General features: G+C 34.8%; 1 protein-coding gene and 1 long non-coding RNA gene across 26 annotated transcripts in view, besides 5 other annotated features; one reads left to right on the top strand and one right to left on the bottom strand.

The window, feature by feature from the left end:
- The window catches only part of LOC124902110 (uncharacterized), a 112,958-nt gene extending 111,250 nt beyond the window's left edge, over positions 1–1,708 (bottom strand). The window contains exon 1 of the long non-coding RNA XR_007061398.1: positions 1,416–1,708. This is a non-coding gene — a long non-coding RNA (uncharacterized LOC124902110). The remainder of the gene's footprint in view (positions 1–1,415) is intronic.
- Positions 1,248–1,547: an enhancer, noted in NCBI's record as "active region_28142". NCBI's record gives its function as "activates an Ori minimal core promoter by ATAC-STARR-seq in GM12878 lymphoblastoid cells {active_cell/tissue: GM12878}" and the evidence as "EXISTENCE:reporter gene assay evidence [ECO:0000049][PMID:35858748]".
- Positions 1,808–1,857: an enhancer, noted in NCBI's record as "active region_28141". NCBI's record gives its function as "activates an Ori minimal core promoter by ATAC-STARR-seq in GM12878 lymphoblastoid cells {active_cell/tissue: GM12878}" and the evidence as "EXISTENCE:reporter gene assay evidence [ECO:0000049][PMID:35858748]".
- Positions 2,038–2,227: a silencer, noted in NCBI's record as "silent region_19740". NCBI's record gives its function as "represses an Ori minimal core promoter by ATAC-STARR-seq in GM12878 lymphoblastoid cells {active_cell/tissue: GM12878}" and the evidence as "EXISTENCE:reporter gene assay evidence [ECO:0000049][PMID:35858748]".
- The window catches only part of RFX3 (regulatory factor X3), a 307,705-nt gene continuing 285,612 nt past the window's right edge, over positions 2,192–24,284 (top strand). For 11 of the 25 annotated variants that reach the window (XM_047423701.1, XM_047423699.1, NM_001282116.2 and 8 more), the window contains exon 1: positions 2,192–2,446. Coding sequence is in view for 3 of the 25 variants with exons in the window: in XM_047423697.1 (XP_047279653.1) it covers positions 3,692–3,713 (22 nt within the window). In the remaining 22 variants the exon portion in view is untranslated. Of the gene's footprint in view, positions 4,564–24,284 lie in introns of all 25 variants that reach the window. The other 14 variants (XM_047423694.1, XM_024447634.2, XM_047423692.1 and 11 more) reach the window with 5 other exon arrangements.
- Positions 2,435–3,051: an enhancer, noted in NCBI's record as "H3K27ac hESC enhancer chr9:3525142-3525758 (GRCh37/hg19 assembly coordinates)". NCBI's record gives its function as "activates a minimal SCP1, AML or CMV promoter by ChIP-STARR-seq in primed H9 embryonic stem cells {active_cell/tissue: H9 hESC(primed)}" and the evidence as "EXISTENCE:reporter gene assay evidence [ECO:0000049][PMID:30033119]".
- Positions 2,658–2,747: a silencer, noted in NCBI's record as "silent region_19739". NCBI's record gives its function as "represses an Ori minimal core promoter by ATAC-STARR-seq in GM12878 lymphoblastoid cells {active_cell/tissue: GM12878}" and the evidence as "EXISTENCE:reporter gene assay evidence [ECO:0000049][PMID:35858748]".

Raw genomic sequence — 24,284 nt, 5'->3', positions numbered from 1 at the left:
TACTCTTGAGATACAGTTTTGCACAAGGTTCACTATGTGGTTTTCTTGCCTGCAGATTAAGAGCAATAAATTAAAAGGGCGGTAAGGATAATAGAACTATGTTCACTGACAAAAATAAAAAGCAACAGCTGACAATGAAAGACGGGACAGGCAAACTATAACAGACAATGGAATTTAAAAAAACAAAGCTATTCAGAGAGCCATGTAGTGTGAACATACAGCCCTACACACCATTATAGGAATGAGGACTTTATCAGTAAATATAATAAAGAGAATATTCATAACGACTACCAGTTTTCATAAAGCTGGAACGTATACCTCATTTCCCATCTGTATGTCAAATGGGACCCACACTGGTCACCACACAATCATTTGTCTGACTAGAAGCCCTTACTACCACAGTGGGTCAGGAAACCTTTTAGCTTTAGCACTAGGCTCACCACTGTTCACTACTGCAACACATTATTATTGTAAGAACATCTCTAACTCATGAGATTATCAAAGGCAACAATATTACTTTTAAAAACGTACCCAAAGTAGCTGGTTCCTAAAACAAGGTAACCTTGTATTCTATGGCACGCAGCCATAAACTAAAACCACCGACTTTTAGGACTCTCGGCCTGTTTTTCCTCAAATGCGAATATTACCTAACACTGGTGTTGTTGGGATTACATGAGATAATGTATGTAAAACACTTAGCACCAGTTCTGGGACACAGAATGAGCTCAGTATTATTTTAGCGCTGGTGAACGCATGCCGGCCCAAATCCCTTACTTGCAGGTGCAAAAATTAAGCCTCAAGAGGAGAACTGACTTCCTAAGGCTCTACTTCTACTATGTCATTGTCCTGGTTAAGCAGCTTAGCGGCAAATGTTGGGAGATTTTGGGTATTGGCAGGGCCTGGGGGCATGTGCCTGCTGGACTCGAGTCTGCAGAGAATTGGAGGAGTCTGTTTGAACCATGAGGCATTACAGGCTGTGCCTTATCAACGGGTGTTTGAGATGGCAGGTTGTGTTAACAACATTCAACACAGACGGAAGCCATTCGTCTATCTCAATACAGCCACAAACAGCAAGACCCTCAGCTACAGTAGGCTGAGTAACGGGGGATGAGAGCACGGCAGGTAACAGGATCCGGGCTTGAGCTCAACTCCCAGTTCGGTCTTTAAAGAGGGGTGAGCACTTAAGGGCTGAAACTAACAGAACTAGAAACTAACAGGATGGTATCGCAGGCAGGTGTAAGCTACCCCGCCCCTCTACGCCTTCCGTCGAGGGGAACCGCCAAATGCGCTTTCTCAGCCTCCGGGCAGGGCAATTTCTTGCTCTCTACAGGCACTTACTCCCATCCCTTGTAGATAGGGAGTGATGACCTCGCTTTTTCGTTATGGAGTGAGGGCCGGACACGCTTGGACCTCACCTCTCCGCGCCACGCTGCGGCGGCACCGCGGGAGGCCGACTCGCGCCCACGCACACCCCACGCTCGCCTTCTCTAAGATGGCGGCAGAGGCAGCTCGCTCACGCCCCGCCGCCCGCGCTCCTCCACAAGTCGTGCCCTCAGGAGGCGGGAGCGGGTGAGAGCGCGGAAAGCAGGAGGGCGAGAGTGACGCGGACCCTCCAGTCTAGCGCAGGCCGCGGAGCCCTGAAGCGTCCAGGAAAAGGAAAAGCCAGGAGGCTGACGCTACCAGGAACACCGCCGGCGCCTCAGAAACTAAAAAGCGGCGGCACATCCGGGCCCCTCTGCCCGCCCCGCCCCGGAAGTAACGTATCGGGCAGGGCGGGGGCCGCTCTTCAAAGTGGATTCTTCCCTCGCCATAGCTCGTTTCTTCACAAAGTGCCTGGAATCACCCTCGCCACCCCCTCCCCCGGGTTAGCCGTTACTCTCTCGTGGCTCCGGGACGTCTCTGTACAAAGCTGGCTGCTGGGACAGGCAGCCCTCGTTTCACAGATAGTACCCCTCGCACCACGACTCCTGGGCCTCGCCAGCGCGTGTAGTAACGTCCCTCCGAGAGGACTCTTGGTGACCTCAGCCCCAGCCAAGCATAGGCGCACCTCTTCGGAGTCCTGCGGTGGAATCCCGGCCTCGTGCCCCGTCACCCCGCCGCCCCGCCACCCCACCCGGGTTTGGGGGCCGTCAGTCACAGCGCTGCGCCCTCCCCTTCCGGCGGCTTGGCCGGGCCCGCCTCCTCCCCTCTTCCCTCCCCCACCCCTCCCCGTGCGAGTGTCTCCCTCTCCCTCTCGCTCTCTCTCTCTCTCCCTCTCTCTCTCTCTTTTGTGAGTTATAGCAACCGTTGCCTTGTGAATCAAGCGCCATAGTCACCGTAGTCCTGGCGACTGTTACCCATCAACAACAACTACTCCTCTCCTCCTCCTCCTCCTCTTCCTCCTCCTCCTCCCCACCACCACCATCTCCATCACCCACCAACAACACCACAATAATCCACAGCCAAGGTGAATATTCTTCGGTCTCTACATGTGTGTGGGAGCGTGTGGCTGCGTGTGAACGCGTGTGTCCGTGCGTGTGTGTGTTCGTGTGTGCGAGCCGAGTGTGGCTGTGCTGGGGTCTCACTCCTGACACGGGGGCTGCCGCTGCGGCGCCGCCGCCGAGGGGCTCTGTTCCCCGGGCTTGTTTACAATGGACCCTGCGCGCCGCGGCTGGGTCGGGGGTGTGGGCGCCGCGCCGCCCGCCGGCCCCGGCCCTGCGCCGGCCGCACTTCAGGGATGGAGCGGGAGCTTGGGGGGCTGCGAGCCGAGCGGGAGAGGGAGCCACAGTTTTCCGATGCGGATGCTGGATCTTTCCCTTAGGTCTGGTCTGAGGAGGAGGGTCAGGTGAAGAGATAAGAATTTGTTCTTTCTTTAATTTTCTTCTTTTCCAACGCTGCTGTTTCCTGCTTCTTTCAAAGCCGAAATAGACAACAGTGTGCAAGGGGGGGACCCAAGAGGTGGTGTTTTGTTGTTGTTGTTGTTCACTTGTGGGGCCTTGTTATGGGTTTTGTTATTTTTAATCCTCATACGTTGGTGAACTTTTCCCACCGCCCATTCCCTTCATTTTTGCCCCTCTTTGCCTGGTGCTGAATGGGCTGCTCTTCTTTCACCATCATCAGCTTCATGGTTTTCTTTTTTCTTTTTAAAACTGTATTTTCTTTGTGCGGCAAACAGTCTTAACATCCATTCAGCACTCTTCCCTCCCCCTCTTTCTCCCCCCCCCCACACACCCCTTGCACACATATTGAAACCTGGGGCCTGTTCGTTGGGCCCTCTTTGCTGTACTGGGAAAGATGTTTTTCTTTTTTAAAGTCTGTCTCCTCTCTCTTCTTTGGTGTGTGTGTGTGTGTGTGTGTGTGTGTGTGTGTGTGTGTGTGTGTGTGTGCTTGTGATTTAAACCGGATGCAGGGCATCTGTGATACTTGGGTTAGTAGTTATTGACAGTGCTTTATCCTTCATGTGGAGGTGGGAGGGGGAGTAGTGAGGTTCCGTTTCACTTTGATGATCCTCCTTCCCCGCAGTAGAGTGTTAACAATTTTCATTGTGATTATGAGACTTTGTGATGAACAGGGAAGGGACACAAGGAAGCTTTGTGAGAACTCAGTTCACAGTGTTATTTGTGACAGTTATGGTACTTTAAGAGTTTTTTTTTTTTTAATCTCCTCATTTTCCTTTGAGAGTTGAAATTCAAGTCAAGTTCATAAAGAATGTATGAAGGTTCTCAACTTGAAACGTGTGTATATTTCACTTTCTTTCTGGTTAAGATCTAGGCATGTGTGTACTTAACATATTCTTTTTATTTACTTTTTGATTTTCTTTGGACAGTGACTTGAACCTGCTCAGGAGAGAGAACTTTTTCCTTTTTAAGTATTTCTTTTAAAAATTATTTTTCTCTGTAGATTTGAATACTTATTAGTCCTTATATAGTAGGTTCTTGGTTAACGTTAACCCAGTTTTACAGATCCCCTAAATTTGTTCATTTTTTTCAGCTTAACTTTTAGTTAATAGATTTATCAGTAGAGTTTTGATAATGAATGTGTGCTAAAACAAATATAATGTACTATTGTAGTTGCACATATTGAAGTTTTAAATTTACAGTTTTAAAATGCTTATTCAAATAGTCTTCTTTCTAACAGCAAACATATATTGATTTAACTGACACAGCAGCTTGTGAATAATGTGACAGTACTAATTATTCTTGAGATTGTCAACGAGCAGGGTGGGTAATTATAATGCTATTAAGGCTAATATTTTGTAAAATAAGAGTTGGGATTTTAAAAAAACTTTTTCAATTCATTTCCTTGTGATTGCTATTTTAAATGAAGACGATATTTTGTTCTGAAAGAAGTCTTTCTCAGAGCACTCAGATTTGTTTATAATTATTCCTCCTCTCCCCAAACTGGGTTCCATGCAAATCTCTAATACTAACTTGTATTTTTTTTTCTGTTCAGATGAGTGTCAAATGCCTGAACACTTTTGGATGGTGAAGCTCCTGGGTCCTATAAACTCTCTCTGAAGTTAATAGGAGTTTTGCTGTCTTGGGACAGTTTCAGACCTTATGCCATTTACATAATAGGTTTTCAGTTAAGTAAATTATATACTATAATGTTATGGTTTAATATTTTATTTACAGTGTCTGAGAACTTTTTTTGAGGCATTTCACTCATGTATAGCTCAGGTTTTCTGTGATTTAGATTTTCATTCACAAGTTGATTTGAGAGCAGAACTTAAATTGAATTTCATTACTTTTCCATTTTTTGAAGCATATATGTGGGATAAAATTGCTATTAGAGCTGCTGTGGAATTGATTAAATAATCAGAAACACTGAGAAATGGTAAATTTAAAAATTAAACACAAGGATAGATACTTAGCATTTACTTTATTCTTTCTTAATATTTTTCCTAGAAGGGACTATGTTATGTATTGATACTCTCTTGTGTTTTCAGTTTTTATACTAATAGAAATTTGTAAAAGTGATCATGCTTTGAAACTAAAACTATTAAATAGAAGTCACTTGTAACTTGTTTTGAATAGTCAAATGTCTGTGATTCAATGTATGTCATAATGCCTAACTCAGTCGTTTTGGTGTGTTTTGCCTATGAATTGTATTAAATGGTGTAGGCATCATACATATACACATATATGGCAAACTAATGAATTTCTAGAAGTTTTGCATCGTTTCACAATGTTTTCATTAAAGGTTGTAGTGATGGTTAGTTTTTTTTGTATTATTCCTCCAGTACTCAAATAGTCTTGTACTCTGCTTTGGTACTCAAATAAAAGGTTATAGTTTATAAGCTTACTGTGCTTTAACCTGGAACAGTTTATTTTACCCTAAACAATTTATTATGGTTAATTTTTTTACCATTAACAATAGCAATTAAAAAATGAATGAATCTTAAAGGCAAGTTGGATTTTATGCGTCGTTTAAATGATAATGTATGTTACTTTTTGGTAACATTTTTCATTTCTTGAGAAAGTTGATATTGTGTTGGTATTCTCCAGCTGAAGAAATTAGCAGGCAGAATATAATGATTTTTGGTTTTCAGATTTTAAAGTCTGTGTGTGTGTGTGTGTTTGTGTTTAAATGGGTGGGCATAGCAGCAGATGTGTGGCAAAAGTTACACACACACACACACACACACACACACACACGCACACACACTTTTCCAGAACAGTAATAGGAATATTACTTTGTTCTTAGTATCCATAGTGAGAATGTGTTACAAGAAATGAGAATAGGGAAGAAGTAAACTTTAACATTTTTGAGAGGCTCCTGGTTATTTTGTTTTAATGCTGAACCTTTGGCTAAAAATCCTCTATTTGAGCTCAGTTACCTTAAAAACAGTTTTCATAACTGAGTAATTTGCCTTTAACTCTTTGGTATATATTCCCAGTGGCCATGACAAAGTATGTTTTAAATTCCTCTCTATTCACAGATACATAGTGTTCCCATATTTTGGAAATCCAAGATTAAGTGGATTTGACTAAATCTGGCTTGTTAGGGACAGATGGCTGCTTTAAACAGGTGTCACTTTCATTTTTTACTGCATTGTGTTGGGACTTCCAGTGGTTGACAAAAGGGCTGTCTAAAGCAGGTGGCATCCTTTGCTTTTGTTGTTAGTAAAATCTACTTTTAGAGTTTTCTAGGAAAAGTTTTTTTTTTTTAAAGTAAAAGTTTTGAACTACTCAAGATTCGTAATTTAACATAACTTTTATTTCTGAATATTCTATTTTTAAGTGGTAGAACCTGCAGATTCTTTCACAAAACACTTATCAATTCTTATAAATAATGGTAAATTCCCTTTGAATCCAGAAAAAGTACACAGGAACATTTTACACACCCAAGTCAAACCCCAAGGCCAATTTGAATAAAGTGAAATTTGGTTAACATGACAAGTTAACTTTTGTCATCCTTTACTGAAATAATTTTTTGACAGCATTTTTTATATGTTGGAAATAGGTGTTGTTTTTGTTGGTTAAGTATTTTCAAACTAAGACATTTCCTGACTTCATTTACTGCTATAAAGTTTATAGTGATCTTTTAAAATGATAATATTTTTAAGTATTAATGTTCAAAAATATGTACTGCAGTAAATAAAAAAACTATCAACCTATTGATTTCTAAGGTTCACTTTTACTCTACAATTCTGTCCTTTTCTGTGGGAATTTTATATTTCTTATAACAGATGCACCAGAGGGTGCTGTGCTGTTTGCAACATGAGATTATTATCACTAAGAATGTGAACTCACTAGAACTTTTATTTAAAGAAAAAAATTTTTAATTATATATGCATTGAAGCATATAATAGGCTTATTTTTATGGAGTTTAACATACTATCTTAATTGGCAGTTTTACATCAGAACCTAACTTCGTGTACTAATACATATTACCGCAACATATAACAATATAAAGATTGATATCTTTGGCACTGTCTGGCATTAGTCCTATAGGCATATATGTTGATTATCTTATGTAGATATTTTAATCTTTATTTCAAAACTTAGGTTACCCTGAGAATCATACTATTTGGCGATATGTGGCTTTATACTTCTTAAATTTCATATGATTAGCACATATCAATAATTGTCCATTCTTATAACACTTTTACATGGCATAGTGATATGCTTTTTATTGTATAATCTTTAAAAAAACCACTGGAAAAATAAATGGCAATAGTGGTTATCAGGCTAATTCATAATAAAATAGTATTGACATTATCTAGATAATTCTGGCTGGTTGTATTGGTTCACATTTATAATCCCAACACTTTGGGACTGAGGCAGAAGGATCACCTGAGGCTATGAGTTCAAGAGCAGCCTGGGCAACATAGCAAGATTTCATTTCTGTAAAAAAAAGTAAAAGAAAATTAGCCAGCCTTGCCGGTGCGTGCCTGTAGTTCAAGCTACTCAGGAGACTGAGGTGAGAGAATTTTTTAGCCCAGGAGTTTCAGGTTACAGTGGGCTATGATCATGCCACTGCACTTTAGCCTGGGTGACAGAGCAAGACCCTGTCTCAAAACACCAAAAACAGAAACGAATGCAATCCGTACTTCATGCTGTTGGAATAGGCTAGTTTGATTGTTTAATTTGGCTTATTATCTGAAAACTTTTAGGTTCCCAGCCCTACTGTGTGCCATATACTTTTAAACTGGGAGTGATCTTATATTGCTTTTTGTATTTTATTTGTTCAGTGAGAGATTTTTAGGAGAATACTGAATCCAATCTTGGGCTACTTCTTGTATCATCGACTCTTTTCACAGCAATATATACTCTAAAAGACATACTGAAACAGTGATACCTTCCTTAAGTAAGCTTAGAAAGATACAGTTACAGCATATAAACTTTTTAATCTTGATAATGGATTTATCTGTACTAGTCCATATTTTACTATAATTAGTTAATTGTGATATTTTTATAAAGTAAGCTTACAAGGCATAGTAGTTCATGTGTGTTAGACTGCCTCAAAGAATCCAAAACATTTATTAAAGTAACACTATGTTTAAATACTGGTCTTGCTAAAATAGGTTAGGCATTTTTCTTTAAAAATATAGTCCTACAGTTTACCAGTTAGTTTTTGCCACTAAGATTTTTCCTTTTTTGAAACAGGGTTTTGCTCTGTCACTCAGGCTGGAGTGCAGTGGCATAGTCATAGCTCACTGCAGCCTCAATCTCCTGGGCTCACGTGGTCCTCCTGCCACAGCCTCCTGAGTAGCTAGGACTACAGGCTGTTGCCATCATTTTAAAATTTAAAACATTTCAATTTTTTTTTTTTTTGTAGAGACAGGGTCTTGCTACATTGCCCAGGCTAGATTTTTGAAAGTATACTTTATAGCAAGTTGTATTGCTTCAAAATCTTTATATTTGTAGTTTTTATTTCGTATCAAATGCAGAGTGTTCTTAGTGAAAACAAATCAGTTAAAAATGGAAACGTGTTTAGAGTATCAATAAATAGGTATAAATAGGTTTTGTTCTTTAAATAGATGGATAGAATAAGTATACTGGTGAATAACAGGCTTTGGAGTCAGATTTCAGATAATCTCATTAGTTGTGTGACTTTGGACAAGTTATTACCTTCACTTAACCTCAGTTTTCTCATTTGAAAAATAGGATCAATCTTCCCTGCCTTATGGGGTTTTGTGAGGATTAAAGGAGATAATTTATGTAACGTACTTTGCTCAGTATTTGACACAATATGTGTTCAATACGCGTTGGCTTTATTTTTAGGGAAGGCTGAGAAAATACCTATTCTAATCTTTTTGCTACCTAAGAATCCTTTGACCATCCCTTTTTTAATGAGCCCAAAAAGTTTTGAAAGACTTTGCTTACCAATTTATACTCATTAAATAATAATTATTCTTTTTCCTCCACTTTAAAAAATAAGGCACAGACAAGCTGCCAATCACAGGCTTGGATTATCATTTGATAACCAGTCTTATCACACTGAATTAATAGAATGCTAGCCCAAAGTTATGTTTTAGTTTTACTCTGCAGCCTTATAATGGGCTCCTTTTACTAGGTTTGCATAACTCTCCTGGTCAAAGGATTTTAGATTAAGAACTAATGATGTAATATGTCATTATCTGTTATACTCCCATTGTCCAGTTCATTGTCCCACTTATATTTTTATTTTCACGTTATACATGAATTATTTGAAAACAGTCTGAGCCCTATTTATAAACTTTATACTGAATGTAGTCAGTAAAGTTTAATAATAATAAATAGTCTAGTCAGTTGTGTAAAGATGAGTTTATCAAAGAATTATTCTACATTTTTATAATGCGTTGCTTAGAATTGTTACTTTACTAAGGGTAGAAAAATGTGTGAGGTTACTACTTGTGTACCTACAGCAATAAATAATTTTGGGATGATTTGTCAATCCCAATCTTGAGTTGTAAAGTAACCTTGGAACATTATTTAGTGTAATATATAATATGAAATCATAGAGGAAATATATCACCTGTGGCTTCCTTTCATTAGATATTAAAGATGTTTAAGTAACATTTTCAAGTTGGCTGCTTAATTATTAAAGTTGCTATTCAGTAATTTCCTTTATTTCTATATTTTTCCTGAACATTTTCATCAGAATGAAATACTTTTCTCATTTTAGAGTGATCTATAAACAGTCCTAATCTTTCTCAAACTGGAAATTTGACTTATATATTTCAGTTGAGAATTTACCTGATACTATATGTCTTTTCTTTTTTGCCAAAGCATTGTATATTGTACAGATGTTTGTCTGTGTCACTCATTTCACCATTCTCCCCACTCCCGTTAAGTGTTTAGTTATATGACCCCCTTTGCGTTATTTTTGTAGATAATTAGCCCCAACATATCAATTAGACTGACTCTCAGCTTAGCCACCTCCTCTGCTTCCTTTCGCCAGTGAATTTGACACAGATTTAAAAGGAACTTTTGGGAAAAGTTTAGGAAATGTGATTTGGATGGTCAGGTTATGCAGTCATACATTACTTAATGATATGGATATGTTCTGAGAATTACGTAGTTAGGTGATTTCATCATTGTGTGAACATCATAGAGTGTACCCAACACACACCTAGATGGTATAGCCTGCTACACGCCTATGCTATATAGTATAGCATATTGTTCTCGTCTATAAACCTGCGTAGCATGTTATTGGACTGAATACTGTAGGCACTTGTAACTCAGAGATAAGTATTTGTGTATCTGAACATATCTAAACGTAGAAAAGGTAATGCATTGTGTCAAGATGTTTAGTTGGTTATGATGTCACTGGGCTATAGGAATTTTTGAGCTCCATTTTGTTATGGGATGTGGTTTGTTGTTGACAGAAATGTTATGTGGTGCGTGACTGTATGGTTATTCTTACCATTTCCGATAGTCTATTATTATCTTACAATTTCTACTCATCTGACTGTCCTCTTGGACAAATTTATAACCTTGTTCCACTAACTATGTAATTTGAGTGTGGTTTTGATTCAGAAGGCTCCCTTCTTAGTCCTGGCTATGTACTGGCCTCTGGCTAAGTACCTTAGGGTTAAATCTGTAGTCCATAAACACTGTGTTTGCACAATCACAGATGCCTGCTGTTGTTGACTTTTAATTCCTGGATTCTCCTTTCTCACTTTTATTAGAAGCAGTAATACCCAGCTAGTACTGCTTGCCTTTGCTTTAGAGTGCTTGGTCAAGATTTCTGAAGGTTCTTGGTAATTCCTGTTTAGGCAAAAATGAGGTATTGGGTAATAGGAGTTGAGCTTAGGAAAACTAATAGAGTGAGACAGCTGTCCTCAAAATAATAGTGTGTTAGTTGGTAAGAGGAGACAGATACAGTGAAAGATGATAAAAGGAGAAAGGACAGCGAGTGACCAGGCCAAGATATAAAGGACTTCAAAAATGCTAGCCAAAGGAGGTTAAAGAGAAAATAAAGGTTCTCACTCTATTTCTAACTGTAAAACCTTAGCCTGGTCACTTATACCCTATAGGTCTCAGTTTCTCCATCTGTAACATGAAACAATAGGGCTATGGGATTTCTAAAGCCCTTTCCAATCTATGATTCTGTAGCAAGATTGACACTGGGAAAGGGAAGGAAACATGCCAATAACATGGAGCCAGGAATTGGCATTTCCCTTACTCATGTTCTCAAAGGCTAGCAAGTTGTTTGCTTATTGTTTCTTCTGGTAAGAACAAGAAAGAAAGAAAACCCACAGCCTGGTGCTAGCATAATGGCCATACCTATAGCAAAGTCTCAGAAGGTTCCACCATTTCAATGGCTTCTGTAGAGAGTGGTGGCCAAGTGCCCTCATTTTCTCACCCACATAGGAATTAGCTGAGTCTCACAGCTTGAGCTCCTGCCGGAGCCAGCTTCTCTATGTGTGTGTGCCAGACAAGTGTCTGACATTTGGGGCTCCTCCTGTCTGTTGCTCACCAATGAGATATTTAAAACAGGACATAATTTCCCGAGTATGTGGATAGGCAATTTAACAGAGAGAGAGAGAGAGAGAGAGTGCGAAAGCGAGCTAGTGCATGTGTGCTCTCTGATCAGAATAAAAATTAATTTAGGTTTCTGTTGATCTCATTTTTAAGACATTTCTTCCCCAATTATTGAAGCTATTCAACTGGTTTTTAAGAAGAGCTAAAAATCCCGTCAAGGTCTAGACAAGCTCCGAGAGCCTTTGGACTACTTTGGGGTCCCTGGTCTGGAAAGCATTGCTATCCTCCACACTAGTCTCATATTTTTCCATCGGTAATAGTTACTGCTTTTCTTTTTCTTAATATTGTTTATACTTGGATAAGCATTCTTTTAATTCAGCTTTGGTAGCAGAAAAATAGTCTTTTGTTTAAGAAGTATACATTTTCTTAAATTTTAAAAAATTTTTAGTTTAGGCTGGGTGCGGTGGCTCATGCCTGTAATCCCAGCACTTTGGGAGGCTGAGGCGGGTGGATCACGAGGTCAGGAGATCTAGACCATCCTGGCTAACACGATGAAACCCCGTCTCTACTAAAAATACAAAAAATTAGCTGGGCGTGGTGGCGGGCGCCTGTAGTCCTAGCTACTCGGGAGGCTGAGGTGAGAGAATGGTGTGAATACAGGAGGTGGAGCTTGCAGTGAGCCGAGATCACGCCAGTGCGCTCCAGTCTGGGCAACAGAGCAAGACTCCATCTCAAAAAAAAAAATTTTTTTTTTTACTTTAATACTACTTTGGTTAGTAGACTTCTCAAGATTTTAGAACATAGCAGGCTAAAAGAGGAAGCATTTTTGCATTTATTCAGGATAAGTCATATATTCTGCTGTAACTCAACTCTTTTACCAGCCTAATAGGGGAGTATATTAAAGCTTAGATTGTAATTATTGATTTAAAAAATTTATTTTTGAATGCTTTGTTTTTTACTGATTAACTTAGACATTTTCAAGTTTCTGGACTACATTCAGATTTGCATGCCTAATAGCATTTGTGTATTTCAGTATAACTTTCATCTTTAAAATATATCTCATCCCCTTCAGTCTCAGTCAGCATAGTTTACTTTAATGTTCAAAACCATTTTAGAGATTCTTTGCTTGTCAGTTAAGTTTCCTCCATGTTTTAGTTGTGGAGGAATGGGGGAGGTTGCTGTAGAAGGGCAGGAAAAGCAGATACATTTAGGAATCATATCCTGTTTCTATTGTTAGACATCAGTGCATTACATATTTTCCCCAGTTAATTTTCCTGGACCATTAAGTTTAGGCGGGTGTGGGGGCTTGAGGTGGGACTTACGGGGCGTAGGGAGGTGGGAGACAGAAGACTCAGGTGATCCAGTATTTCTTCCAGATTTCTTTCCTTACCTACTGTAATATTGTGCAGAATACATCTATTTTTGTGAAGACGGGCATTCTGTTTAATTTTGTTAGTGATTCCTTTTTTCCAAAGAATCAATATATCTGTATATATCTATCCATTAGTATATTAGTAGATGGAAAATAATATCTTTCTTTTTTAAGGAACCTGAATTTTGATTTAGTCATGCACAAATTTTAGAAAGGAATTAAAAAGACTGGTGAGAAAATCTAGTTCATAAGCAAGGTAACAGTAGTGATGCCTTAAATCTACCTCTTTATGTTTTGCTTTGGATAAATGGTTTTGTGGATATATGTTTTTGCATTAGAATTTAGGTTTTCCCCTGATACTATTTATGCTATTTTAAATAACCAAAGAGTAAAATCTGTCACATCAGGCATTTGCTGATTGGCATCTGATTATATCTAATGACAGTCTCAGAGATGAATTTTGATGACGTGTCAGTTTAAGGGTCATTAATAAAAAACATGAAAAGCTATTATATGAGTAATCTGAAAATCACCTTTACAACTTTAAAAGCACAATATGTATTTTACGTGCCATGGTGAAAACCCAACTTGAAAAATCAGTACATAACACGGAAACCCATAAATTTAGATTCTTTGTTTCATAAAATGATTATATTGCATGTGTCTTAGGAGCATTTTAAAATACTTTGTTTAGCTCACACTTGTAATCCCAGCACATTGGGAGGCTGAGATGGGAGAATCCCTTGAGCCCAGGAGTTCAAGACTAGTGTGGGCAACATAGTGAGACCCTGTTTCTACAAAAAATTAAAAAATTAGCCGGGTGCAGTGGTGCCTGCCTGTAGTACCACCCCCTCAGGACTGAGGTGGGTGTATTGCTTCAGCCCTCGAGGTGGAGGCTGGAGGCTGTAGACAACCCGGAGCCTGGGCAACAGAGGGAAACCCTGTCTCAAAAAAACAAAGCAAAACAAAACAAAACAAAACAAAACACAACTTGGTTAAAAAAATTACTTTTCAATTAGAGTGTAGTAGATATATTAAGAAAAATGGAGTTTAACTTAATGTGTTTTGTGTATGTGTATGTAGATATTTAGAAAGTCATTTTAATTTACATTTTGCTTGGTGTTGTAGAACAATCAATACTGTTTTTGTGCACTGATTTTTGCATTATCCATCTCTTGGAGGATCATTAGGAACATTTAGTATTTCCACCTTAGTGCTATTTTCTTGAGGCAAAGAAAGATTAGGGGAACTGTCTGATGAAGTTCTTTGAATGACCTTCGTGTAGTTTTGTGAGCAATTTTTAATAGTGTCTCACATTGTATGATGATTTTTAGAGGCTACTTTCAGTTAATAAAGGCCATGAATGCTGAAATTGAATTAAATTGTAGTTAAAGACAAAAATTGTAATTCATTCCAATTATAGGAGGTTAAAATATTGTGCTGTTGGATCAACATTTGATCTCCTTATTTTTAGAAGTCTGCCAAGTTTTGAATTGTAAAACCTTTTAAATAATATTGAATGAGTAGAGCTGTATAGTAGTTGTGGGTTTATATTTCAGCAAAGATTTGAGTGCCATATGTCTTGGAAGTAAGGTGGGATTCTTTTATCTTGGAACTTGGAAAGAGATTTATTTTAATATTTTGATTGGGTTAGGTTTGCTTGAGCATTTTTGGGGGTTGATAGAAATGCAAATGACTATGGACTGGAGATACAGATCAGAGTAATTTGTGAGAGGAGGTAATTGTAGCGATCCTGATGCAACACTCACTTCCAGTCCTACTGCCCGTGATAAACTTTGAAGTAAAGACTTCCTTCTTTAATGATGTAAGCCTCTCTATTAAAATGTGTTTTGTTAATTTTCATTGCTGCCTGGAATTTCCCAAATGTACATTATCTGGGAGCTTTGGAAGTTCCAGTTTACCTTCTGGATTATAAACCTTAGAAAGAATGCCAATAGATGGCACCCCATGCCCAGAACAACACCTTAATCTGAAGGAATGGGGTAAAAAATGAAGTGCAGGATCATATAATTTGAAAAACTAGAGTATGAACAGTGACTAGTACAATGTAGAGAAAAAGAAATATCATTTCAGGGACTAAATATGAATCCCAGTTCACCATATTCTGCATATTCTGCATATCTAGTAATAATATCACTGCTATGACTGATGACATTTCTAATATTTGATTCAAAAACATTCTAGCAGAGACCTAAGATAATTGGATAAATTAGTCTCTAAGCTTTTGGTTTTTTATTTTGTCTTTTAGCTTTAATTTTGAATGAGGAATTAAAGGATTTATATCAATGTATATTTAGTGCAGTACTATTTTGGTTAATGTAGGAATCCCGAAATGACTTAGATTTCCATTGAGTTTTAAGGAGCATAAAGAAATGAGAGAAATGGGTTATTAGATACAAAATTGCATATTCTCAGCTATGTGGACATATTTTTTAAGGTTTCCAATTGTAGAGGGTTACAAAAAGGACATAACGATATTTGGGAATCAAGAAGGATAAAAAAGTGTTGGAAGAGATACTGAAAAGTGGAGTTGAATGAAATTAGTAGAGAATTTGGAAATAAAGATAAAAATAAGATGGAAAAATTACATTATGAATGGTGAAATAATTTATTGAATGAACAATTTCTTTTTAAAATCTTTACTGTGATTTTTACCTAATGGGAGGACCCAAGGAAAAAGATTGTACTTAGCCTCTTTTTGAGCACCACATTTGTTTTTTTGTTTGTTGGAAATTTTTATAACAAGGTGCTGGGATCTTTGACTAGTATTGTATGAGGTTTGACTATTTCTAGACATTGTATATAGAAAAGATTAAATTGAGGTGTTGCCTCAGAGTTTTCTTGTAATTATTTTATTATTACAAGGTAATATATTAATATATAAAAAACACAAAATTAGCATATCCAGTTGGGATATCTGATTAGTTTATCTGATATCTAAAGCAGCCTACAGTTGTAAAGTCAGTATATAGTAAAAAACTGTGTACCATAAATGTATATATTCCTAAAACATTTTATATTTTGGAACATTTAAAACTTACACTGGAGTAGTATAATAAACTCCCATATGCCCATTATATGGATTTAACAAAGTAGTACCTTCTATTGCTCTAAAGCTATATAATTTGAAATATTTGCATATTGAAATAACCTTGAATCATTCTTTACTTTGTGTTGCTTTGAAAATATTTAAATCTTATGCTAACAACAGATTCAATGTATACTTGAAAAAATGCTTATGTTTAAAACAAAATATTTAAAAATGATCTTGTTTTTTCTCTCAGCACAGCATTTCTCTTATTATTTATTATTTTTGTTTTTATGGGTACATGTTAAGGGTATATATTTAAGGGATATTTCGATACATGCATACAAAGCATAGTAGTCACGTAAGAGTAAATGGGGTGTCTGTCACCTTAAGCATTTACCATTTCCTTGTGTTACACACATTCTAATTATACTTTTAGTTATTTTAAAGTGTACAATAAATTACTGTTGACTGTAGTTACCCTACAAGCACAGCATTTCTAAATCAGGAAGTTTGTTCTTGGTTTCCGGTCATATCTTTTGTTTAGTAATTGAATTCAAGTCTCCTTTACTTGAATCCTGACCCATTGTTAAGAAAGGGAGAAAGTCCAGGGACAGTAGCCCATATTTGAAGAAACCTGTGTTGAAGACTAACTCTCCCAAGGGTGAAATGGGGTTATCTTTTGTCTGCCATTCTTTTAACTTTGTTTGTGGGTATATTTGAGTAAACAGTTGAGTCATTTTGTAAGTTGATGAGGGAAGAGAACCAACTATCTTCTGCTTCTTCTGGAATATTTCCTTCAAAGTTTGCTACTCATTTTGTTTCTAATAGAACATAAAGGAAGAGACATCTAAGAGCTAATGTACTGATAGTTTATGATATCACTCAAAGCAGTTTAATATTTTGTGGTTTAGTATCTTCAGGGAATGAGGAGGTTCCTTCTCTTAGTTTTTTTATTTGACTGAGGCCAGACTGGTATGAAAGAAGTTTATTTTACAATTCTAAAATCTATAGCCAAAAAAAAATCGTTATTCATGTAATAATGGTCTTACTACATGAAACTATTCTATAATGAGCAGACTAGTATTATAACAAATAGTGATTAATGGCATTTTAATAAACAACACAAAATTTATACCTAAATCTTTTTAAAAGCTGATGTTTCCTTGTTTGAACCTAATTAAATGATTAAGATATGAAGAGGTAAATACAGTGCATTAAATAAGCTTGCATTTTTTGTTTGTATAATAACTTTAATTGCCAAACTTCATTATGATCCAAAGGGTTCAGTGGAATTGTGTATGACTTAATATATTTTGTGGCGGTCTTTAAAAATATTTCTGTACAGAGTCACTAGACAAACTGAGTAGTAAAGTGATACAAAATAACCAAAGTGATACACTAATTAAATGATCTTATTTTAGAACTAAACTGTTTCTTTTCTCAAAGGGTTATATATAATTCTAACTGACATTAGGAAACATCTTCATTATGTAATTCTGCCTATTAGATTTTTATACTTTTCAAAAGTAAATAGAAGATACAGTGTATGAAGAAAACACCAGTATAAAGTTTAATGAGCCAAACAATATGTGAATAAAACGTAAATGTAACCCTGCAAAACAGAAGATTATAGAATGTACATGTTATTTTCAGAAATATTTATAGATTTCCTTATGAATTTAATGCAAGATGAGTTTCAACATTTACAGTAGTAACTTTTTCTGTGCTTTTAGATACCTTGTACTTAAAATCAAAGTATAATTTTATTTGGCTTTTTATTATTTTACATTCTGTTTAGTATCAATGAAAGCACAGGCAGTTTTATTCTAGTGTTTCAAAGTTGTTTAGTTTTAAATTTGACCAGTACTACATTTGCGTTATAGGATATAATTTAAAAATCAGCCATTTTCAGTGTGGGAATAATAATATTGATCCACTTATTCTATGTTTGAGTAACTCCTCAATAACTTAATGCTGTAATTTGGAAGAACACTGTCTCTTCACATTTAAAGGAGAGTTTTGTTTGTTTGTTTGTTGCTTTTTTTGGGGGGGGCAAGAAATGATCTGTATCTTATAACCTGGCCCTGTTTGCATAGCAGCTAAACTTTTGGGTCTGGAACTTCAAATCCCCTGTGATGAGTATCTTTCTTTCTCAGTGGCCAACTTCAGCCTTTCTTCCTATCTCTACTAATTTTACTGCCATATTCCACTTTCCGTTTACTATGTCTGGCCCTGCACAGCAGACCAAAAGAGACAGCCATGGGACTACAGCAGATTAGAGAGGTGAAAAGGTCTCTCACTAGAGTCACACATGTTTCCAAATGGCCCAAATATACAGGATTTCAGTAGAAACATAATTAGAATGTTTTATTTTAGAGTCAGATTCTTTTAGTTGGAATGGACTTGGGAAGTTATCAAGTTGAACCCCTCCTTCCTCCTCCCCACTTCTTATAGGTAAGAAAACTGAGGGTAAGTGACTTGTACAATGACATAGAACATCAGAATTAGGACTGTCGAACTCCAGCCTCCACACTCCTCCGCAAATGTTCTTAGGGCTAATACAAAACTTTTTTTAAAGGCAAAGAACTCAAATGTACTGCCTTTAGTGTTTTAAGTAACTGTTTATCTATAATTTTGAACTCCATATTTTTTTCTAGAAAAAGCAAGTTTTATAAATCTGCATTCAAAGTTTGCATAAATACCTTAATGTTCTAATTATTTCCAAATGTAATTTTTGGTATATGGATTATTTTTAGAATGACGTAGAAATAAAATTTAAAAATGTTTTCCAAACCATCAGTAGGCTTTATTTTAAGGAGAAATGCCATACTTACTAGGTTTTTTAAAAAGAAAAATATTGTATATTTAATTCCTATTATTTGTATTTCCTCTTATTGGGAATTAATGATGTATGTCATAATCAATGTATTAGTGTAAATAATTTTCAGTCCTGGTATGCACGTCTTTACTTTTTTGATGAGGGTAAAGGTGCTTTTAATTGTTTTAAGAATTTTTGTAAACATTCATTTAATTATGAATTTTAAAAATGGAAATCTTTGTTCTTGTAGGTCACTCTTTTGTGGAACAAAAGTAAAATACTGGCAGCTGATATAGGTGGTACAAGCTGAGACTTGCCCAGCTGGGCTTTAAAAGTGTAGCAGCGCTCTTAAGTAGCAGTGAATGAACAGAATGAATATATGAACGGACTGCCCTTTATTCCATAGCAACCAGACGCAATACTGGCAACTATGCTATTATCTGATTTTTTATTTTCTTAATCTGAGTTTTTGGAAGGTTATGTTGTTTACTTTTTAATAGTATGGGACTGTGGCAGGAATTGTAATTACCAAGATTTTGTCTAATTATTTCTCTCTCTCTCCTCTCTGTGTCTCTCTTTCTGTGTGTGTGTGTGTGTGTGTCTGTGTTTTACAATTAGAAGTAAATCAGTGAGCTCAGACTTGAATTAGTTTCGGTATTGTGCTAAAGATGAGCAGTTTGAGCCCTAACCCTGTTAATTATTTGAAACAGTCAATTTAAGAGAAACCAAGAATATGGCAATTGAACTTCCCAATGTAACCTGATGCTCTCTGCAGCCTCATTTGTGGTAACAAATATGAAAGGATACATTTATATAAAACAGGAGTATGTTTCCTGTGGGGGAAAACCGCTTGTCATTTGCTTTTAACAAGGTGTAAATCCCCACAGATAAACCTTCTTGTAAAACTGTTCCCTTTGGATTTAGCCTCACCTTCAACAAAAAGGGAGATGTAATAAACGAAAGTATGATGAAATATTAGTTAGCTCTTGCATTTTTTGCCTAGAAGTTCCTCTTTTTTATTCTTTATCATTTTTTAAAATTTAATGCCGCTGTTTCAGATGAATTGAGAGAGTCAGAATATAATGCATTACATTCATTTTACTTTCTGTTAATGTTTTTAGGGGGAGAGATCTAAATAATATACTTTTAGATTGAACTATATTTCTGATATATCAACATATATACTGACTCATAAATTAGAATGGAAAATACAAATATTGAAAGTGTAATTCAAATGAATAGAAAGTGCTAAATACTTGCAAGCCTTAAATTGGGATTTGAATATAGAGATTGAGTTACCAGAGTAACTAAATACTAGACTGCTGTATTTGTTGGATGTGCAGAGAAGGAAACTCAAATATGGAACGTGGTCTTAATGTCTTATGAATCATTTTTACTTAACTTTTAAAATTCAGATTAATAGAGTCCTCTAAAAAGAAGGTTTTTTTGAATTTTTAGAAATAGCTCAGAGTTTTACGTTTCCCTCTGTCAGAATCTTTTCAGGATTCCTCATTGCCTCTTCGTCAGAGTCGTTTAAGAAATATTTATTAGTTATCACAGTGTCCCACAGAACAACCACAGTCTTTGCTGTTAGGAAGCTTATAGTCTCATGTCCATTTTCAAACTTGTATTTCACCACTTTTCTCTGTACTTCCCCTTTTTTGACCAGTCTACATTTCGTATCTGTGGGATCTGCATTTGTGAATTCAACCAGCTGAGGATGGGAAACACTTGAAAAAAGAAAACAATATATAACAACACAACAATAAAAAAAGTAAATACAGTATAACAACTTTATATAGCACTTACATTGTATTAGGAATTATAATTAATCTAGAGATGATTTAAAGTATACACGGGAGGATGTGTACAGGCTATACACAAATACTATGCTATTTTATATAAGAGAGTTGGGCACCCTTTTTTAAGATGGAGGTCCTGGAACCAATTCCCCATGGTTACGGAGGGACAACTGTATTATGTATTGGTTAAGAGCATGAACTTCAAAATGAACAGCCCTGGGTGTGAATTCGAGCTCTGCCACTGACTAGCAGTTTAATGTTAGGCAGATTACTTAAATTCTGTGAAATAGGATTAATAAAATCAACCTGAAAAGATTGTTTCAAAGACAGTATATGACATAGTCAAAATAGCACTGTGCCTGACATGTGAGTGTTTAATAAATGGCAATTGCTATTATTATCCTATATGGTCTGAATTCTGCCTTGTCATTTCTTTTCTCTAAAACTTAGTTCTCATCCTTTATTCTATTAGAATGTGTTTTCTACCCTACTTCAATTAATCTCTTCTAAAATTTGAGTGGTCCCTAACTTGATGGGTTCATTTCTAGTAATTTCTTATTATCTCTGCTAATTGGAAATTGTGATTTAGATTTTTGTTTGTTCAGTTGTAAATGCTTAATCTTTTTAAATTGTTTATAAGCTTACTGAGGGCAGAAGACTCCATAATCAAGGTTTTTGAACTCAGCATGAGACCCAGTGTCTTTTTCTAGTAGAAACAATGAATAGTTGTTTAAGCTTCAGATTGTCAATTTGGAATCTCTAATCAAATTTTAGAAAACACATTTCACTATTTAAAAATTTTGTCTAGTTCTGATTTTACAATGACCTTTCAAGCAATGCAGTCTTACTTTTATTATTTCCATTGGATTTATTTACTTCTTTTTTTTCCAAAATGAATTTAATGGCATGAATTCATGAATTTCTGGATATTTCTTCAAATAGAGTATCATGTAGCTGGCAGTGGATTGGGCTGACCTTAATCCAGGTCTTTTTCTTCTTACCTTTTCAAATGACATTCTGTCACCTCATTCTATATTTATATATATACATTTCTCTATATGTGAAATTCTAGACTCATATATCTATATATAGATATAATTCCAGACTTGTTTGGATTTTCTTAGTATCCAACAAGGCTAATATCTTACTTTCAGAAGTTGGGGAATGCCTTTAAGGATTCTATACCTTATTTCTATTTTCTAGTTGTGACAGGGTGCAAGAATTCCTTAATATAGGAGAGACATGCGGGGCATTATGGGAACCTTGCTTTGGGGGACTACTTTGAATATCCCAAACTTTGGGTTTTTCCTTCTACTGCCTAACTTTACTGTGCCTGCTGGGATGTCAAAAGTAGAGGATCAGGACTTCAGTTCCAGGGTTACACCAAGGCAACCAGTAGTATCAGAATGGAATTACTACAGTAGTGAGATCCATGTTTGCATTTGTGATATTTTAATTAGGGTTGCACTATGCGAAGGTATGATTATCTGCCTTTATGTCTGCTACAGAGACTTTACCCTGAAAAACCTTTTTTTTTAAAAAAAAAAAAACAGTTGTCCTTCATAAATCTATCCAGCCCTCATTTTAATTAGTGTATATTCATTGTATACCATCTCTCGAGATGATGAGTTGCTGAATTTAGTGCCGTTTGTGAAGTCATCTTAACCTCTTTCCAGACTTAAGGAGTGCTCTTCAATTTCTGTAAGTTTTAATATACATGCTCATTTCACTTTTTAAAAATTATTTCATTCATTTCTTGAGCAAATATTGGCACATAAAGTAGGGGCCAAGAAGTGAACTGCTGTGAAGGATACAAGAATGAATAAAACTGATCATTCTTCAAGGGCCTCTGCCCTTGAAGGAACTCACATTCAAACAATTGGGGGTGAGGGAGAGAGAAGATAAATGAGTATGTATTATAATAGATGGTTGTCAATGCTATGGAAAAAACAAATGTGAGAAGCAGGGGGGTAGAGAGTGTAAATGATATGTAAATGATGGGGGTGGAGAAGGTTGTAATTTTAAATAGGATGATTAAGAACACCTTGCAGATAAGGTAACATTTGAACAAAGACCTGAAGGAAGTTTTGAATATGTCTTCAAATGTGGCTTTGTATATTTATAATATAATATTGATACTTTGGTAGCTGCTGGCCTTCCTGTTAAAGAGTCCTAATTTTTACATCTGTCCTCACACAGCACTTTCTGCCTTTCTCTTTACCCCCTTTTATCATTTTTATATGCCTTTCCCTGAATATTTTATTTTATATTTTATATAAATATAAAATATTTTATTTTATATTTTATATAAATATAAAATATTTTATTTTATATTTTATATAAATATAAAGTATTTTATTTTATATTATATAAATATAAAATATTTTATATTTATATAAATATAAAATATTTTATTTATATAAAATATAAATATACATTAATATATATTTATATATATATAAATATAAAAATGTATATATTCATATATATATAAATATATATTCATATATATATAAATATATATTCATATATAAATATATATTCATATATATATAAATATATATTCATATATATATTTATATGAATATAAAATATATTTCATATATTCATATAATATATAAATATAAATATATAAAAATAAAATATAAAATAAATCTAAATATATAAAATATTTTATTTTTATATTTTATTATATATTTTATATATAATATAAAATATATTATATTATTTAAAATATTTTATTATACATTTTATATAATATATATAACATATATATTATATAATATATATTATATATAATATATATTATATTATATATATTATATATAATATATGTTATATTATATATATATATAATATATGTTATATTATATATAATATATATAATATATATTATATCATATATAATATATATATTTTATACATATTTTATATATAATATATATTTTATATATAATATAATATATATTTTATATACAATATATACATATAGCATATATTTTATATACAATATATACCATATAGCATATAATATATATTTTATATACAATATATACCATATAGCATATAATATATATTTTATATGCAATATATACCATATGGCATATACTATATATTTTATATGCAATATATACCATATGGCATATACTATATATTTTATATGCAATATATACCATATGGCATATACTATATATTTTATATGCAATATATACCATATGGCATATAATATATATTTTATATGCAATATATACCATATGGCATATAATATATATTTTATATACAATATATACCATATGGCATATAATATATATTTTATATACAATATATACTATGTGGTATATAATATATATTTTATATACAATATATGCTATGTGGTATATAATATATATTTTATATACAATATATGCTATGTGGCATATAATATATATTTTATATATAATATATGCTATGTGGTATATAATATATATTTTATATGTTATATACAATATAGTATATATTATATATAAAATATATATATAATATATAGTATATAATATAGTATATAATATATATAATATATATAATATATAATATGTATAATATATAATATATATAATATATAATATGTATAATATATAATATATATAAAGAGAGAGGGAGAGAGAGAGAGAGAGAAAGATGTATTGATCAAAACTAAGGAATCGAGCCGATTGAGCCATTTTCAAAATTAAATTCTTGAAGTCCACCCTACCTGCTTCCAAGTTGGAGGCTCTTTGGAAACACTTAAAAAATTGAACAGCGTGTGCACATGAAGTGTTAAAAGTAAAAATTACAATAATAGGCAAATAGAAATTAGAGTTAGCCAGAC

The sequence above is a fragment of the Homo sapiens genome, chromosome 9 (assembly GCF_000001405.40).
Source record: "Homo sapiens chromosome 9, GRCh38.p14 Primary Assembly".
Taxonomy (NCBI): Eukaryota; Metazoa; Chordata; class Mammalia; order Primates; family Hominidae; genus Homo; species Homo sapiens.
This window is presented reverse-complemented; position numbering and strand designations above follow the sequence as displayed.